This window comes from Homo sapiens, chromosome 20 (genome assembly GCF_000001405.40).
Source record: "Homo sapiens chromosome 20, GRCh38.p14 Primary Assembly".
Lineage (NCBI taxonomy): Eukaryota > Metazoa > Chordata > Mammalia > Primates > Hominidae > Homo > Homo sapiens.
The window spans coordinates 10,612,923-10,631,940 of record NC_000020.11 but is presented as its reverse complement, the minus strand read 5'-3'; the positions used below and the strand labels follow the sequence as shown (position 1 = coordinate 10,631,940).

General features: G+C 43.0%; 1 protein-coding gene and 1 pseudogene across 1 annotated transcript in view; one reads left to right on the top strand and one right to left on the bottom strand.

Annotated features, from left to right (window-relative positions):
• Positions 1 to 3,910: 3,910 nt before the first annotated feature.
• Positions 3,911 to 19,018, bottom strand: part of SLX4IP (SLX4 interacting protein) — a 192,726-nt gene continuing 177,618 nt past the window's right edge. The window contains exons 7-8 of the mRNA NM_001009608.3: positions 10,527 to 10,627; positions 3,911 to 9,282 (exon numbers count right to left, since the gene is read on the bottom strand). Coding sequence (NP_001009608.1) covers positions 8,562 to 9,282; positions 10,527 to 10,627 — 822 coding nt within the window. The 3' untranslated portion in view covers positions 3,911 to 8,561. The remainder of the gene's footprint in view (positions 9,283 to 10,526; positions 10,628 to 19,018) is intronic.
• DNAJC9P1 (DNAJC9 pseudogene 1) lies at positions 17,768 to 18,702 on the top strand (annotated as a pseudogene).

Here is a 19,018-nt window from a genome sequence, read left to right as displayed (position 1 = left end):
GGATGCAGCCTGGCTGACGCCCTGATTTCAGCCTTTGAGACCCTCAGCAGAGGACCCAGCTAAGTGTCAAAAACTGTGAGATAATAAACTTATGTTGTCTTAAGTCTCTCAATTTATGGTAATTTGTTACACAGGGATAGAAAACTAACATAGGCTTCTTCTAAAAAGGATCGTACCAGCTATGTCACTTGTAGGTGTCGTATTTGGTTGTGACTATACAAATCGTTGTTAGCTTTTTCCCTGATCAATTCAGAGCCGGCTTCCGGTGCAGGAGAAAGAAAAGCTCATTTAAGACAAGAATGAACTATAGGACTGTACAAAACTTGGTGCCTAATTGAAGTCTACAACAGTGTGTGGTCTGTGAGTGTCGACAGCTGTCTACAGCCTGCGAATAATGAGAATAGAACACAGTTTTTTTCTTCTATATCCCTCCAAACCCCTATTTTATAAAATGTGTGCCAAATGAGGTAAGCTCAGATACCTGGCCTTGGAGGACTCCAGGACACTCAAGTCTTGAGATAGTTTTCTCTCCTTATGAAACGAGATACTGTTTTGACTTCCATTTTCTGGAGGTTTTCAGTGGGTTGGGCATTTCAGAAATACTTTGTATTCCCACCTCCGGCTTCCTCAGAGGCCTTCCCTACAAGGAAGTTCCCTGCTTGGCCGTCGTCACTGCACAGTGGCCATTTCTTTGGCACTGAGAAGGGGCTAAATGTGAAGCCAAACTTTCTCTCCCACCATCTCTCTGCTAGGAGTGCCCTTGCATGGAGGGCAAGGCAGGTGGCCTAGGCAGACTTGCATTGCTGGTAGCAGAAAATTAAGGTTTCTCTTAAGTTCAGTGAGCTTTTCTAAAACAACATTATTAGGACCTGGAATTAGACTTGACAGACATGCAAAACAAGAGCCAAAGTTGTTTCTACAACTGGGGCCCAGAAGAACATGAGATTTGATAAACTGGTACCAGGAAATGCTATCTTCAAGGGAAAACAGGGAAAATTTGCTGTAGAAAATTCACAGATGGATGCAGAGACTCCTTGTCTTTGAGCCTGTGTAAAGATTTTGGTGACATCTAGAAGGTTCTTTCCGGTGAAGATGCTTATTGGCATCAAAACAAGAACCCCAATAGCAACCCAGATCCCTGACACCTCTGGCATAGAAAGCTCTGCTGCCTACAAGTGCCTTCAGATTGATTGATGGGGCATTTTCACAGGAGAGCCACCTAAGAATATTCTTTTCTAGATGCCCCAGGCTCTGCCACAGGCAGATGGCCCACATGCTGAGCAGAAGGGCGCTGGGACAAGGCTCACTGGGGCAGCATTTTAAGGAGAATATATCAATAGAGCAATGTTGCTGCTTCACAAGGTCCTTCTCTTGTGCTGTGACAGGAAGGTCCCTCTAGGCTCCTCCTACTGGGACACATCCCAAATACCCAGCCCAGTCTCCCACCTCCTGGCTGGAGGCTGCCCTGATTTACCATTCCACCTCTCCCTCTGACAATAGGAATGGATGCGCTGGTATTCATCTTTCCAGGCACCCACCGTGGGTTTGGGAAAGAGCCTTCTGCGTTCTTCTCACCAGTCAAGCATGTGAAGGAGGAACTGAAAAGGCCTTGGGAGCTGCTGGGCCTAGAAAAATTCCCAGTCAATCCATCACCTGCCTCCTCTGGAGCAGGGTCTGTCAGTCTCTCCACTGTTCCTGGGGCAGGTGGAGAGAGGGATGTGAAGCAACGAGTGGAAATGAGGTGTGAGTGTGCCTGTGTGTGTGTGTGTCTGTGTGTGTGTGTCTAAGCGCAGAACAGGACTGGTAACAGAAGTGCAGGCGAGAGGGCGTGGGAGACTGGGAACTCATTTATAAAAGCTCTTCTGCCCTAAAGCAAGTCAAACTCCCTGCTGAGGAGTTGCTTTTTCTTCCTCCCTTTTGAGTCTTGTGTGCTGAACTGACCTCTCCCCTGGCAGAGGTCAGCGCTCTGCTCACCCCGCACACACTCAGCCTTCTGGGGTTTGATCGCCTTAGAGCCTGAAGAGGAGAGAATTCTTCAGCATTAATTTCTAAGAGAAAAGCCATAGTAAATCTTGTGAAGAAGCTGGATTTTTTTTTTAAAGAAATATATATACACGTTATGATAAAAAATCTTTCGGGAACTGTGCAGAAAACAAAAAGCAAACATAAAAACCATACATCATTATATAGCCCCCTCCCACAGCCTACTTCACTCCTAAAATAAATCAGGCTGGGTAATGAATGAGGTTTTAAGAAATGCAACTGAACTTAAAATACAAGGTCAGTATCTCATCCTAGGTAATCCTTTGGAGGATGAGAAATTCTCCTGATTTTCCCACAGGGTTATTTCAGATGCACTTTCTGAGCCAAACTATTTTAAAAGCATTCATTCTTCCACTGCCCTGCCAAATGCTAACTTGAGATTCACACGCACTTTTAGAGAGAGCCTATTAATGATATTAATGATCATGATCAAAGGCAAACCCCAGAGGTTTATGTAAAAATTTCAGACAATTATTTAGGTGCTTTAAAGACCCATCTTCTGAACGAGGGTAACAATTTCTCAATGTTGGCAAAGATGATGGGTGCGTTGGGATGTGTAGGTTCTAAAGCAGCAGAACCAATGCAGAGGGGCCTTCAGAAGAAAACAAAACACATCTCTTTGTAAGATTAACATGTATGACTGTTGACTGACACCTTGTCCCCAAAGCCATGCCTACTCATTTACTTGAAAGTAGGTACACTTCTGATTTGCAGAAAGCCCCTCTTCTAAAGAATACTCAGCGAACCCTGTCTCTTTTAACATCCGCTATTTACATGCACACACCACATTTTTAAACAATAGTTCTAACTATGGTGTCTCCTGAGAATCATTATTTGATGAGCTTTAAAAATACCAACGCCCAGGCCAAACCTCAGGGATTCTGATTGAACTAGAAGCTATCCAGGTGACCCCAGTAGGTGGCCAGTGTAGAGAACCATTTTCAAACAGATGTAGACATTAATACATGGGAGGGGAATGTTTATCCCGATGCACTAAAAGCTGTGTTTGGCACTTAAAATATTAGAGATAATTTTATTTGACAGATGAAGAAACTGAGGCCTGGGAGGTTACATGACTTGTACCAAAACATATAAGACCAACTAGTGGCAAAGCAGCAGCCTGGACCCAGGGATTGCAGCTTGCAGCCCCATGCTGTTAGGCAGTCCCCAGATCCCAGGCCCAGCCCCCATGTCCAGGGCAGGGTGTCTTTCCTGTGGGTTAGGCCAGACAGCGGGCCACCATGACCAAAACACTAGGAAGAAATGAGCTACGCCTCATCGACTGCAGTGGTTCTCAGCATTGCACGCACAGCTATTCAAATGTATTATTCCAACCTGACTAAACTGCTTCTGAAAAGTTATGTACAAAACTAGAGAAGCCTGCAGTACTGAAATAAAAGGCAGTGTAGACAGTCAGCCCAGGACTTCATCAGTTCTGAGTAAAGATTAGATTCACTTGGAAAATGGAAATGAATCCACTTGGGGAATGTCAAGATCCTTGGAAAGGAGTCAAAGTGCCATAGTTTAATCTTGCCAAAGAGGTCTATCTTAGCTCTTAGTTGGCAGCAGAATTGGGAACAAGTCCACATTGTAAGGAGCACCCCAAAATCTTAGGGGTCAATTTAATCCAAATGTTTCATGCTGGGTTTTCAATACCTAAATCTTTAAGGCCGATGGTTAAATGGAAAGCTCCTTTGATTATTTTACACAGTATTCAAAACTGCAGAATTATTTCAACAAAGAAAACACAAACACTTCTTACAAATAGAGCATAATTTAAAATAGCTGTCCAGAAAAGGGCATTTTGAATATGCATTTCTTGGGGTTAATTCACTTGTTTTTGAAGAACAGAAGTGATACACATTAATTTTTTAAAACAATTTTACTCCTTATTCATAAAACAGTACATTTCTATTACATAGGTTTCATCCCCTAGGCATGCACAACCATTTGAACTATTTAAACAGTTTATAACAAAACAAATGAGAAGATAAGGGAAAAAGAGCTCTCCTGGGGACTTACATAGCTGTTTGGTTTTTCAACTTGATTGAAGAAAGTTATTCGGGGGATCTGTCCAATTCACACCTTCTGTTCCCTGATCAAATACTTTAGGGTCAAACATAAGGTTTTATTGATTTTTGCTCAAGCAAAGAATTAACATTTTTGATAAGGAACTGTAATGGCAATTATAAGGTAATATGGTGTATGGTAATATTATGCTGCCAGAGGAAACATTTGACTATGATTAAATTCAAGCCCAGTACTGGGTAGCTCTAGATAATTAAAGATAATTTTATCCATTCAAGTCCCCTCTGTTAAGCTGCACATTGACACATATTTGTTCCCTGTCTTGTAAATAAATATAGAAAGCAAATTAGAGTGAGTCCTGCAGATTTCTGAGAATTTAATTATACCCTTAAATTGCAATACCAATGATATATACGGTTAGATTTCTGTACTGAGTAATTACCTGAATTAACTTCGTTTTACAATGCTTAATTTATTTTGTACTAAGGAAGGCTTTTAACTATTTAAGATAAACCAACCTAATTTTGATTTTTTACTTGCTTCAACGTGTTTCAGTTCATTAATGTTTCAATAATAAGGAATGAATTCTCTTGTCTTGACAAACCAAGCATGGAAATTTCCCCATAAGAGAAAAGAAGAAATTAAAATGATTTCCATATTCAAGTCACAGCACGCTGAAAAGAGAACTTTGAGTTCTTAGGAAAGGCATCTGTTACCTCCAAAGGAGGGCCACTCATTACAGTTTTGTGTAATATTACAGTAAGGTCTGCCAAGAAGGAATTCAAGGAAATTGGGAATGACGACACTGTGATCCCAGGCCACTCTCTTGAGCAGAGGTTTCCTTCCCTTATGTGTTCTGCCCTCGCCAAGCTCTTTCTGAAATCAGAGGCCACTGACATGCATAACAAACCATGCTAAAATCCAAACATGACACCAACAGCAAACAATTACACTGTGATCCCATTGTGGTCCCCAAGATATATCTTGAGATACTTCAGAGAGAAGCTATATTCTTCATAAATCAAAATACAGAGGGTTTTTATGATTCTTGCTTTTTATAAAATGAAATACACTTCTATAGTATTAAAATAAGTGAACAAAAGAACTACAGCACTTACTCCCCTACCCCCAAATGTTTGCTTCTTTGCATTTCACAATTCATATGCATATCTGGACGACAGTTAACCTCCAGTGGCAAAGATAAGAAAATGTGAAAGAAAAATCATACAGATTGTTCCCAGACCTTTCTTGTTTATGGACATTAAAATAACCTCAACACCAATCTATTAAGATGCCATCTGAAAGCACATGGAAGTGGCTTAGAATCTATGCCGCTGAGAAAGTTAGGAAATTCAAAGTTATAACATTAATCAAATCATATCAATGACTTCTCCAAGCATTGGAGTCACAGGGACTTGAATATAATTTGGGGTACTACGCAAGTGGTTGAAGAACTTGTTCTTTTTGACTAACAATACTGACACTGTTTCAGACTTTCAGATGCCAAATTATTAAGATCATTAAGAATGTCAAAACAGGCCGGGTGCGGTGGCTCTCACCTGTAATCCCAGCACTTTGGGAGGCCGAGGCGGGCGGATCACGAGTCAGGAGATCGAGACCACCCTGGCCAACACGGTGAAAACCCGTTTCTGCTAAAAAAAAAAAAAAAAAAAAAAAAATACAAAAAATTAGCCGGGCGTGGTGGCGAGCGTCTGTAGTCCCAGCTACTCAGGAGGCTGAGACAGGAGAATGACGTGAACCCAGGAGGCGGAGCTTGCAGTGAGCCAAGATCGCCCCACTGCACTCCAGCCTGGGCGACAGAGCGAGACTCTGTCTCAAAAAAAAAAAAAAAAAAAAAAAGAATGTCAAAACACATACCATTCCCAACAGTGAGAACTCTTCATATCCTACCTAATAAGCAACAACAACAAAAAACCCCTGGCATCCATTTACCCCTTTGTACTTCCAAATATCCAAAGAATCATGCAACCACTCAAATAACAAGAGAGCCAGGGGTGTTTCAGCCATGTGCAAGAAAAATGCTTAAAGGCAAAATTCCTCAAACACATGTCACAGTGTGGGAACTGAGAGCCATTCCCTCTGTAAATCCTGTTAAAATCCCTTTTACATGAAGGGACGTGAGGGCTGTGAGGAAAACTACATCTATCTACAACCAAAGGTGCTATTTTTTCTCTTCGATCACAGTAATTGTTATATCCCCAACTATAACAAACTCTAAAGCCAAGACTTTTCCTGACAGAGAATCATTCTAAGTACAAGTACTAGCCTTAACCACCAAGCCCAGGTTAGCTAATGAAATAAAAATTTCTCAATACCAGAGTGATACTTCAGAGAAAGATTAGAAGAAAACAGAAATAACAAAAAACCAACAGAACAAACAAATAAAAACTTCTCAATAGAAATGTTCTCTGGTGGCTCCAGCTCAAATATCTCCCCCCTAGTTCTGGAGCAGGCAGTGGCTACTGTTCTAGTACAGCCGTCTTTTTAATTCCAGACTCTTCCAGAGAGCTGCTTCTTGGTCTATCCCCTGGGTTACTTATTACTTGTGCCCTCCCTATATCTAAATCGTTCTAATTGCTTCTGTTTAAGAAGATTCAGTGACACACTGTGGTCCTGTGTTCAATAAAGAGCACACCTAAAATACTGTTTGCTCTAAGAGAGGCGCCTACAGTGGGCCATGGAAATGCACATTCTACCAGGTACTCGGTTTCCACTCTGTGCAGCCCACCCCTATTGTATAAGCAGAGTCAGCTCCACTGAAGTTAGTATTCTGTTGGGCTCCCTCTTCTCCTATAGAATCCCCTGACTGGGTTCCGCTGGGAGCAGGAAAAAAGCCAAGAGGGAAGAGGACAGGATACCAGTAGGAAGGGCTGTTTCAAGTGGGGGTGGTGAGGCTGGGATCATGGGACAGGAACAGGTTTCTAGGCAGGGTTTGGAACATTAAAGTAACAGTATCTACCACCACAGTCAGGCTTGGTGACCAAGATGGAATTTCATGACCCAAAATGGTGCCATGAAATATAGCTGCTGCTTCATGAGTCTTACTGGTCTTAACAAGTGGGGACAGGAGATACGGGAAAGGATAGAACGGGATGGAATAAACCACTAATCCATCTCAAGCATGAACCTACACTATGCCTGTTTCTGTACTCTTGTCATTGTTTTGGGCTTTTCTGGGTGATTTTTCTGCTAACTTCAACACTTTAGGGAATATACTTGGTTTTCCTTATTACTTAGGGGAGGTGCCATTTCAAAGGACCACCCCATGTTGAACAGAAAAAAAAAAAAGATGTATTGAATGAATGGACCTTGAATATTGTTTCTTTCCTCTTTTAGAGTGAAATTCGGTTATTGGAAACTTTTAGCGGGTGTCCATCCAAAATAAGTCATTGCTACAATTCACTATGTGACATTTCATCAAGCCCACTGGAGACAGTGGGTGACATTGTAAAGGGAAGGCTCCCATCTTGAAATTTGAACTGCCTGCGAAGCCTTCCAACTGGGAAACTGGAACCTGGTCACTGAGTTCCTGTTAGGTTATAGTCTGTCCCAAACCAAAATCCTGGAGGTGGGTGCAAGAGCAGGGACTGGGACATGCTTGAGCTACAGGCAACAACGAGCCTCTCTGATGTCTTCTCCTAAGGTTGGGCAGAATCGCCCATCGACTTCAACAATTATAAGGGAAAGTAACACCTTCATGGGTGCCATGGCTGCCATACTGTAGAACCCGGAAGAGAGTGACCCATACACCAAACCCAAGTGTTTTACGAGTTTGAGGGAGTCCGAGGGGATGCATGTGCACATCTGGCCCCAACTGGTGAGCTGGAGGCCATGGCAACCAGGCTGCAGGAAGCACTGGGGAGTGTTCTATTAGTCCAGTGGTTCTCAAACGCGAGCATGTTTCAGAATCACCCAAAGGCAGTTACTCAGCATGGGGCAGGGCCCAATAACCACATTTCTAGCACATTTCCAGACAACGAAGCTGGTCCCAGGACCACGCGCTAAGAACCACTAGCTTGTTCTTTCACTGCCCTCCTACTCAGGCTGAGGAGCAGGGGGATGGATTGTACCCCTGGAGCTGAAAGGCAGCACGGCAGCACTGTCTTTGCACGGTCCATTGTGTGGTCTGCACAGTGATGTGCCAAGAAGGGGCTCATGATCAGTTTCTTCATGCAGTCCTTGCACAGTCTCCTCCCTGACAAGGTGGATGGCTCTTTGTCATTACTAATTCTCTGAAGACAGTCATAAAATACAATGATAAAGAAGCAACGCTGTTAGAACAAGCATATAGCCTCCCGGTTTGAAATGCTTTGAAAACAAACCATAGCCATAACACAGATAACACACTTCCTATTTAAATTAGTCATTCTAATTAATTCCTTTAAAATCCCGGCATCTATATTCGCAGCTCTCTTGTCACAGGTTTGGCCACTATGTCCTCAACTCCAACGGTACAAACCTCTTCGGTGTTAATGGCCTCTTTCGTATTTCTTTCTTTTCTTGGTTGGGCTGTTCTGAATTGTAGATAATCTTTCAGTGTTTGTGGCTAAGCCGGTTTGCTGTGCCTGCCCTGGGTTATTTTTCATAAGATGTCTGGAGGAGAGACTTTCCAAAACATGCAACTCTTCCTTAGACGTGGTTTTTGCCAAATCTTGTTTCAAAAGTAACCCTGGATCTGACAACTCTGAAGCTGGCAAAACCCTGACAGCTTTGCTTTTTTCCACTATTATTTCTCTCGGGACTAATCGATCACTTCCAAGAGAAACTCTCCCGTGGTGGTCGAAGTCTTCCGCAGAGCTGCAGTTCCTGCGTTTCTGTTGGGTTTTGGCCACTCGTGGACTTTGTTTTGGACATGGTGATGCTGACTCACAGCTACAGACGGGGCTCCTGCTTAGAAGCCCTGTCTTTAACCGCTCCCCAGGATGAGGTTTTTGCTGGCCACTAGTGTCTTCTGGCTGGGTCTGATTAACTTTTTCCAGCTTTTGAACAGGAAGCCCCCAGTGGCTCTCAGCTGCCTTTATGGAATCCTTTGCTTGTCCCATGGATTCTGATGGGGGACTGGAGGAAGCCTGACCATCATTCCTCCTCCTTGCTATCTCTGCAATCACTGAGTCACTAGATGTTTCCACAGTGTCTCTTCTGGTCTGCGATTTGCTCGTGACACTGCTTTTTGTTTCAGTTCTTTTCACACTGAAACAAACAAAAATGATTTTATGGTTTGTAAAGCTGTCACTGCACTGTTTCCTCCAGATTCCCTCTACCACATTTCCTACACCTGAAAAAGGAGGCAGGCACTACCTGCCCTCTCGCTTCCCCAGCAAATCTGGAAACACTCCCCACCACAGGTGTATGTTTAAATGCAGACTGAATCAAGCAAAAACCTTCACATATTCCATTATACATGATACTGCTTATCAATCATTGGGTTAAAAATGGATTTATGATGGCGTTCACATTTTAACTAAGGTAAATAGGTATTCATTTCCAATGTTAAGGGTCAGTACTGCCTATATACTGATTTTTTTTTTCCAGGAGTAGACTCAGGCTCTGTGTACACAAATGTACACATACACACAATTTCTACTTGTGAGTAAAGAAAAATCTTCTGGAATTTCTCTCAGGCTATTTCAAGATGTTACCCAAATATAACCACCATTTAGCTGGTATCAGGTTTGTTGACCAAACTTGATCAACAAATGGGAGTAGGACTTAGTTAATATAATTTGAAATGTCCTGGAAGAAATTTCAGATAGTCAGCATGAAAGGCAATAAAATACAATCGTGGAAGACAAAAGAGTGTCGATATAGCTGTATATAAGCCCCTTGCTCCTTACAGCGTGCACAACAGACAATGTAACTTCACTCTGATGATAAAGTGAACTTTGAGGGGCAGGATAGAAGCTGCACAGGGAGAATTAGAGACTAAAGATGTTAACTTCAGCATATATTTACAGGTTTGTGAATGGCAAGAAATTTCCTCAACCACCAAAACATTGAAAGCTGAAATATTTATTTCGGCTAGCTTCAGTGTGAAAACAAATACATGTAATATTCATGTTCTTACTGTTGACACCAGGAGCATGAGGATTATCGTAATTATATTAAAGTCGGAACAAGGATCCTAGGAAAGGAATTTTTTTTTTTCTAGATCTGTCTGTAGTCCCTCCGAAAGTGGTATGAAACACACCACCAACAGGTGCTTTTCATCTTCAAAGAACGTGTCATTAATTACTCCTTGCAACACACCTGTGAAGCAAGGATTCTATCCCTATTGTCCAGAAAGCAAGAGAGTCAGGAGGGAGGGGAGAGTAAGTACGTGACGGAGGGGAGTTTGTGCTTCAGTTCCAGGCACTCTGTTTAATTCTGGACTTCATGTTATCTATCCATACATAGAGACAGGCAAAAATGAGAAAAAGGAAACACATTGCACCTACATTTCTTTCAGAGCATTTCTCCGGAGCTTTGCACTGGGAGGAAGTGAACTCTCTGCACACTCAGCAAAGTAATCAGACACTCCATGGAGAACTCTTTCTGTCTACTCCAAAAGATAACAAAGGTTCAACCAGAAATCTATTAGCTGAACATGAGAGAAAACAGTTACACTCTGAATGCCCCAATGAACACATTTATTTTTGTAAAGACTGAATGAAACTGCTCAGTGGTAAGCTATTTTAACCTTTTTTACCTAGGACTTTATGGTTAATTGTAACTTCTTTTGGACTCCCAGTCCACATTTCATACATTAACATGCGTCATAAACATACAAAACTGTAAGGCAAATAATGTTGATTCCAAACCATCTGGGAACTCTTGGCCAATATCTGGTATCTGTGAGGCTCAGGCTGTGACAAAAGCCCCAGAATCCTACTGTGTGGGGCAACGTGCCTGTGAGCTCTGTTCTTCTAGCAAGACCTGGTGACACAGTGGTCTACACCCTTATCATCCTAAGAATTCCCCATATTTTCTCTATCTGCAAAAACAAAGAATATTTTGTGGCCGGGTGCAGTGGCTCACGCCTGTAATCCCAGCACTTTGGGAGGCCGAGGCAGCCAGATCACGAGGTCAGGAGATCGAGACCATCCTGGCTAACACGGTGAAACCCCGTCTCTACTAAAAATACAAAAAAAACTAGCGGGACGTGGTGGCAGATGCCTGTAGTCCCAGCTACTTGGGAGGTTGAGGCAGGAGAATGGCGTGAACCCGGGAGGCGGAGCTTGCAGTGAGCCGAGATGGCACCACTGCACTCCAGCCTGGGCAACAGAGCGAGACTCTGTCTCAAAAAAAAAAAGAATATTTTATCACACCCAAGACCATAGCAACAGTCAAATCTTTTAATATTGGTATTTTGAAAACTGTAGTTTGTGATTCTTGGCTACCAAAAAATTCGGGACTTTTTTCCTTATACTAACCACCACTCTGGTTTTATATAATTCATAGATTATCTGCCTATCTAGCCTTTTGTGTTCCCATGGAAGCATCATAAGGAAGTAATTATAAAATGTAAAAGCCTACCTACCTTGCCAACATTAACCCATTTCATGCTTTTGGAATCTCTTCTCCTTTTGGTTATCAAGTAGATAATCCATACAAGGTGTTAACTCCTCATATTTTCTGAGAAACTAAGTATTCTTCTCCATCAAATTCCAATAAAATGTTGCTACCACCAGAAACAGCTTTAGTAAGTTGTCAGTAGGTCCTTGCTTTAGACCTACACTGGAATTAGCAGTGACAGCCCCAGAGTACCTGGTGGGTGGCAGCCATGAGTACCGTGCCTGGTTATCCTACAAGCCGAGGGGATGTGCTTTGCCTAATCACTGCCCTGCACCACTGAGGATGGGCTCTTCACACTCTTCAATTGTGCCTATCCATCTCAGACCTGGGCCAGTGTCACTCAAAGTCATATCTGGTTATAACCCAAGTGAGTTTTAAGCTAGTGAACAGAATATTCTAGGTTTTATTGGATTTTATTGGATTATACTCCCTTTTTTTTTGTTTTCTAAGACTTACTAGTTGGCCAAAATGAGTGACAGCTTAAAATTCAACTGAGAGAAAGAGAGAGATCGAGAGGAATCGAGATTTATGTGTGAAACACTTCTAAACATGCCCTATAAGTACAGTAGATTCTCCCCTCACAGCCACACCCTGTAAGTGCTGTATTTTCAGAGCTGAACAATTAACATAAGGAGCATGAGTCAGGCTTTGAACAACTCTGTGGGAACCAGAAAGCCTTTTGCTATTAGGAATGATGTAAATTCCCCAAGGCTGGAAGAAATCCACAATGGAAGGCAGACAGGGTCATAAATAACAACAATGAATACTGCATATGCCACATAAAGTATGATGCTGTGATAGTGACACTCTTTCAAATCTCGTATTAAATTCAATCACTGCCTTTATTTATTTATTTTTAAAATTCAGTTTAAAGAGCACTATGCATTTCCTATGGGAACTTCAAAAACTCCTTTAAGAAGCAGAGCAGTCGGCTCTCATCCCAAATTCCTCTGACAACAATGGGGGAAAATGTCCTTGGAAGAAAAAGGACAACAGAAAAGGTGATAAGAGTGACAGGAGGAAATGTCCTGTTCAAAAAGTGTAAAATCTGTGACTTAGTTTTCAAAAAAAAAAAAAAAAGAAAAAAAAAGAAAAGAAAAAGAAAAAAAGAAAGAGAAAAGCAAGGCGGGGTCTCCCGCTTACAAATTAAAACCACATTTGGCAATTTGTTGAAGGAGGCATATTTACATTTGTATGAAGACTGGGTGGGCAGGAAAAAAAAGATTAGACTCCCTCTTCAGCCCCTGAGCTGTCAGGTCTCATTAGAAATCTCTTACTCTAACATTTCTAGGGTCAATTAACTCCCCTTTGTCTCTAAATCAGAGCCTCTGGTGCTGCTCCCCTCCCCCGCCCCCCCAACCCCCAAGCCCCCAAACAAGTATTCCTTAGGAAGCAGCTATCACCTGGGAACAGGATTTCCTAAAGGGAGTCATCCTGATTACTAAAGGCTTCTCACATCTGGCATCAAAATGCAATCTGAGGCTTATCCGGAGGCACAACGCCAAGGTGCAGATATATAATGTGTGCTAAGAGGGTTGCAAGTGCCTTCTGGGCTTACGGGACAACCCTACTACTTTTCAGATTCTGCCATGAATAATGATCCCATCATGTCTTGTAAAGAATGAAGATAAACCCAACATATTCAAAGAGGCTACCAAAGAGCTGGCCATCCAAAGTCCAGAATGGGACATTCTGAGTCCATGGAGACTCAGGTATTAAAAAATTAGATTAACCAACAGGATCTTCCAGGGCCTTCATAAATGATTCCTTACAACCTGGAAGGTAGCTCTTACACTTGGGCCAAGGAATAAAATTCTACAAATATCATTCCTTGGTATACTCCATTTCCAGCCATCTGCCTCATGTCCACCCTACCTCCTATTTTGTTTTACTTTTTGGTTATACTTTTAAGATTTTTGGTTCAAAAGTTTCTCTCTATAAAGAATGTCAGTACACAGTTCTAGGGCAAAACCAAACAGAAATAGGGCAAAGCCCTGGCCTCTAGGGAGATACCCTCCCTCAGCAACCTAAGCAGCCTAGGCAGGCCACAAGGCAAGGGATCAGGACTTTTCTCGATCTTTGGGGGTACTCTGGAGACCAGTACCCCAAGGATGAAGACAGTCAATGCACATGTCCCAGTACAGAACCAAGGGGAAGGCTGAACAGATGAATGTTTGAGTATGACAATGGGTGATATTACCCTATTCCTGTATGGGCTGACCTGGGAAACACATTTTAAATTCCAGGATAGAAAGGACTGCAAAGAGAGTCCCCACCAGGATGAGCTAGGTGCCTAAGATATCCTTCTTGCCTCTAATCAGAGAACAGGCTGATTTGAGATGCAGTTAGAAATACTGGGCCAGGCGCAGTGGTTCATGCTTGTAATCCCAGCACTTTGGGAGGCCAAGGTAGGAGGATAGCTTGAGCTCAGGAGTTCGAGACCAGCCTAGGCAACATAGTGAGACCTCATCTCTACAAAAAATTAGCCAGGCGTGGTGGTGTGCACTTATAGTCCCAGCTACTCAGCAGGCTGAGGTGGGAGGATCACTTGAGCCCAGGAGGTCAAGGCCGCAGTAAGCCATGATTGTGCCACTGCATTCCAGCCTAGGTGACAGAGTAATGCTTTGAAAAAAAAAAAAAAAAAAGAAAGAAAGAAAAAAGAAGGAAAGAAAGAAAGAAAAAATAAATACTGGGCAATGTTTAAGTCCCAAAGGCACATTGAAACTGTGGATAAACCAAGGAGTCACCCCACAGTGACTTACTAAAAACTGGTTTTGAACAGAACACTGTTGGATTAATGGGAGATAGGGAGAGAAGTTGGCCTAAAACGGCAGAGAAAACACCTGCTCTTGAGCTTCCAACCTCCTCACGAAGTCTGTAAAGCACAGGAGGGGCTCCCGCAGGCCAGTGGGAAGACTGGCTGCATCAGAGGCACAGAGGGAGCCTTTTGAAAATGGAGATTCCCAAGACCCATCCCTGGAAGTTCTGATTCACAAGATCTGGGATGGGGCGAGGGCATCTATATTTAGGTTCCCAGGTGATTCAAAAACTGCCGATATACATAAAACAACACTCAGCAAGGCAGAGCAGCAGATAAACAAACACAAACTGGTACAGTGAGACAGCCTTTTGCAAAGTGTGGTCCATTTATCCCATGCATCAAAATCATGTGGGAAGTGTGTTTAAAAATGTTCTAGGTTCCACCTCAGAATTTGGATCTCTAGGAAGTGGGGTCAGGGCATGTATATTTTGGGCAAGCCCCTCAGTGATTCTGATACCCAGCAGAATTATTGAACTTCTGCCCTAAAGGCACACAGAATTGATAACTGAGCAGAATCCGACAGAGTAATCCAATCAGGCAATATTGACCTCTGTACCTGGCAATGCTTGAGGCCCTTGAGGGAAAGGACCTTGGTTTCACAGAGCCCCTATCTCAATGGAGAAGACAACAAACAAACAAATAAACGTATGTCAGGTGGTTATGATGTTATGAGGAGAAATAAACATCTAAAGGGCCATGGGGTGCTATGTTAGATATGGTGGTCAGGAAAGGCTGTGGTAGGTAACAAGGTGGGCTTTACACTGAGACCTGAGTGAAGGACAAGCCACAAAAGCAGACGGGGAAGAGCATTTTGGGTAGGGGGAAGAGTGAACACCAAGGGTCTGAGGACAGAGTATGCCTGGAAGGTGCAGAAACTGGAGCGTAAACCAGGGGAAGAGGTCAGGAAGCAGGAAAGAGGGGTGTGTGTGTGTACTGGTGGTGAAAAGGCAGATCTTGTGTGACTTTTGTAAGGATGGCATATTTTATTGTGAGGAAGATGATATACCCATGGAAGCTTCCTAGAAGAAAAGGGACTTGACATTTTATTTATTTATTTATTTATTTATTTATTTATTTATTTATTTCATTTTTTTTTTTGGGACTTGACATTTTAAAAGGAATACCTTGGGCGTTGTAGAGGGACAAGGTTACAAGGAGGAAGACTAGTGATGAGGCCTCGGCAATGATTGATTGATTCAGAGATGATGGGTCTTGGAGAAGAGCCTGCTCCTTGGGGAGCAGTGGTTAGAATGGAAATATAATTTGATGGGAGACCCAACACAATGTGCTGATGGACGGGATATAGAGAGTGGGAGAAAGAGAAGTCATTGGTGACTCGACAATCTTTGGTTTAAATAACTGGATGAAGGAAGTTGGCCTTTACCAACACAGAAAATATAGTAAATTTAGGGTCAGGCTTGGGGAATAAGACCAAGAAATCAGTTTTAGGCATTGCTATGGTATGACTGTGTCCCCTCCAAAATTCAGGTGCTGCCAATGTGATGGTATTAAGAGGTGGGGCCTTGAAGATGTAATTAGGCCATGAGGGCTCCACCCTCATGAATGGGATTAGGTGTTTTTATAAAAGGGCCTGAAGGAAGGAGTTGGACCTATTGTCCTTCCACTTTGTGGGGACACTGTTCCTCCTTTCCGGAGCATACAGCAATGAGACATCATCTTGGAGGCAGGGACTAGACCCTCACCAGACCCCAACCTGCTGGTGATTTGATCTTAGACTTCCCAGCCTTGAGAACAATAAGAAATAAATTTCTGTTCTTTATAAGTTACCAGTCTTGGGTATTGTGTTATAGCAACACAAATGGACTAAGATGATGTAAGGGTCCTCCTGGATATCTAAATGGAGGTGCTGAGCAGGCAGGTAAGACACAGGTTTCCGGCAGAGGGAGGTCTGAGCTGTAGACACAAAGCAGGGAGGTCTGAGCTGCAGACACAAAGTCCTCAGAGTCAGTCAGGATGAGCTCTACTAGGAAATGACTTTGGATGAGTAAAAGAAGTTGAGAAGATGAGGAGGATTCAGGAAAAGAGACTATGAGGGAAGCATCAGTGAGGAGGAGAAAAATCAAGATAGCATATTGCTCCTGGAGGCAAGAGAGAGTGACATGGAAGTGAAGAATGAAATGTCAATGAAAGTGACAACTGTATGGAACACTGCTGACTGGTTATGAGTGAAAACTGATCACTGGAAGGAAGGTGACTTTGACATAAGCTGTTTTTGGTGAAGTGCTGGGATCCAAGCCTACCTGAGATGGGGTCAAGGGAGAAGTGCAAGTGGCTGCATTGGCACTTCTCCAGTATGAAGGCAGACTGGAGACTGAACTCTCCAGGAGAAACAGAATGTGAACTGTACGAGCAAATTGAAATTTTCTACAGACCCATTAAAAAAGTAAAAGGACACCTTTAAAGGTGAAATTACATTTCAATAATATATATTTAACATAATATAAAATATAATCATTATAGTACGTGATCAATGTAAAAAATATTCAGATGTTTTATATACTAAGTCTGCAAAGTCTGGTGTGCACTTTCAACTTGGATTACATTATTTCTGACTTGCCGTATTTTAAATACTCCATAGTCAAATGTGGCCAGTGGCTACAAGTACTGGCCAGCACAGGTCTAGACAACACCACTTTGGAAGAATTTTGCAGTAAGGGAGAACAGAGAAATGGGGGCACCCACCACTGTCACCCTCAATACAGCTTGGTGAGGCAGATATTAACACCACGCCCCAGGGTCAGATGCTGCTGGCTAGAACCTGATGTGACATGGACACACAACATGGGATGGTAACACCCCTACCCATCTGACAAACACGGCCTATGTTGGGAGTGACTTGCAGCCAGCTCTCCAGCAACTGGCTGAAGGCTCTAAGACATTAATATTAGCTGAGGTTGGAGTTTATGGCGGCAGATCTTTGGGGCCATGTCATCAGGTTACTGGTCACTCCAAGAGTCCTTGGGGTGCACCAGCCAATCCCAGCTCATCCTGACCACATGGCCCACCCCATATGATCCTCCTAGTATCCTTCATAGCCATACTGGAAGCATATGGCAGAAGCTATCCCACCAAACTCTTGTTTTTAGGATTGTAAAACGTCATGTGAAGGCAATAAAGGGATGAAAAAAAGCTATTCAATGTCTTTAAAATTGTTCTCAAGGTAGGACTTCATGAATTCTGTCTTCATCTTTTGAGAGCTGGATCTGTTTTCTCATGGTTATGTACATGAGTTTCTTCTGATTCTGTTACATTCAACCCCAAATGAAAATAATTAATGGCTGGCTTTACTGGGTGCTGGGCGTGCAACGCGAGGCCTCCGATGGCGAGGTCCGACGAGGCTACCACAAGGTGTCCCTGCAGGTACACCTGGACCGGGTGGGCGAGGGCGACAAGGAGGACGCCACCCGCTGCTTCCAGATCCTGGAAAAAGTCTATTCCATTCTCGGTGACAGAGAACAGAGAGCAGTGTACGATGAGCAGGGAACGGTGGACGAGGACTCTCCTGTGCTCATCCAAGATCAAGACTGGGAGGCGTATTGGCGGCTACTCTTTAAAAAGATATCTTTAGAGGACGTTCAAGCTTTTGAAAAGACATACAAAGGTTTGGAAGAAGAGCTGGCTGATATTAAGCAGGCCTATCTGGACTTCAAGGGTGACATGGATCAGATCATGGAGTCTGTGCTTTGCGTGCAGTACACAGAGGAACCCAGGATAAGGAATATCATTCAGCAAGCTATTGACGCCGGAGAGGTCCCATCCTATAACGCCTTTGTCAAAGAATCAACACAAAAGATGAATGCAAAGAAAAGGAGGGCTCAGGAAGAGGCCAAAGAAGCAGAAATGAGCAGAAAGGAGTTGGGGCTTGATGAAGGCGTGGATAGCCTGAAGGCAGCCATTCAGAGCAGACAAAAGGATTGGCAAAAGGAAATGGACAATTTTCTGGCTCAGATGGAAGCAAAGTACTGCAAATCTTCCAAAGGAGGAGGGAAAAAATCTGCTCTCAAGAAAAAAAAGAAATAATGGAATTTTTCTCTTCAAAGGTCCTTAGGTGTAAATTGATGCCATTGTAAGCAAGGTGCAGGCAAGACTTGAAGGCAAAAAGCAATTCAACTCTTGAGAAAAGGTGTCTTTCCAGCCTGAATTTTTCAGATTGACTAGACCAAGCAGAATCTCTCAACCTGATCTTAGTATTTCCTAGAAAGCACTTGACATTGTGTGAGGTCTCACCTGAAGGAACTTGGTGGTGACAGTTGGGAGGGTGGAGGGAGGCAGTGTCCCTTCCTGACAGCACTTGCCTCCATGGATCTTCTGTACACAGCACTCTTATCTAGGATGTGGTTCTGTTCATGCCGCTTTCTGCGATGTGCGTGTCTGTTAGAATAGGCTCTCTACCCAGCTAGAACACCTTCCAGACACTTGCTGGACAGCTATCTTCCACATACTTCCCAGTTTACATTTGGTCTTAATGATCTTGAATAGATTCTCTCTTCATTTTACTCAGCCAGGTTTTGTACTGATGTACAGGTGTTAAAT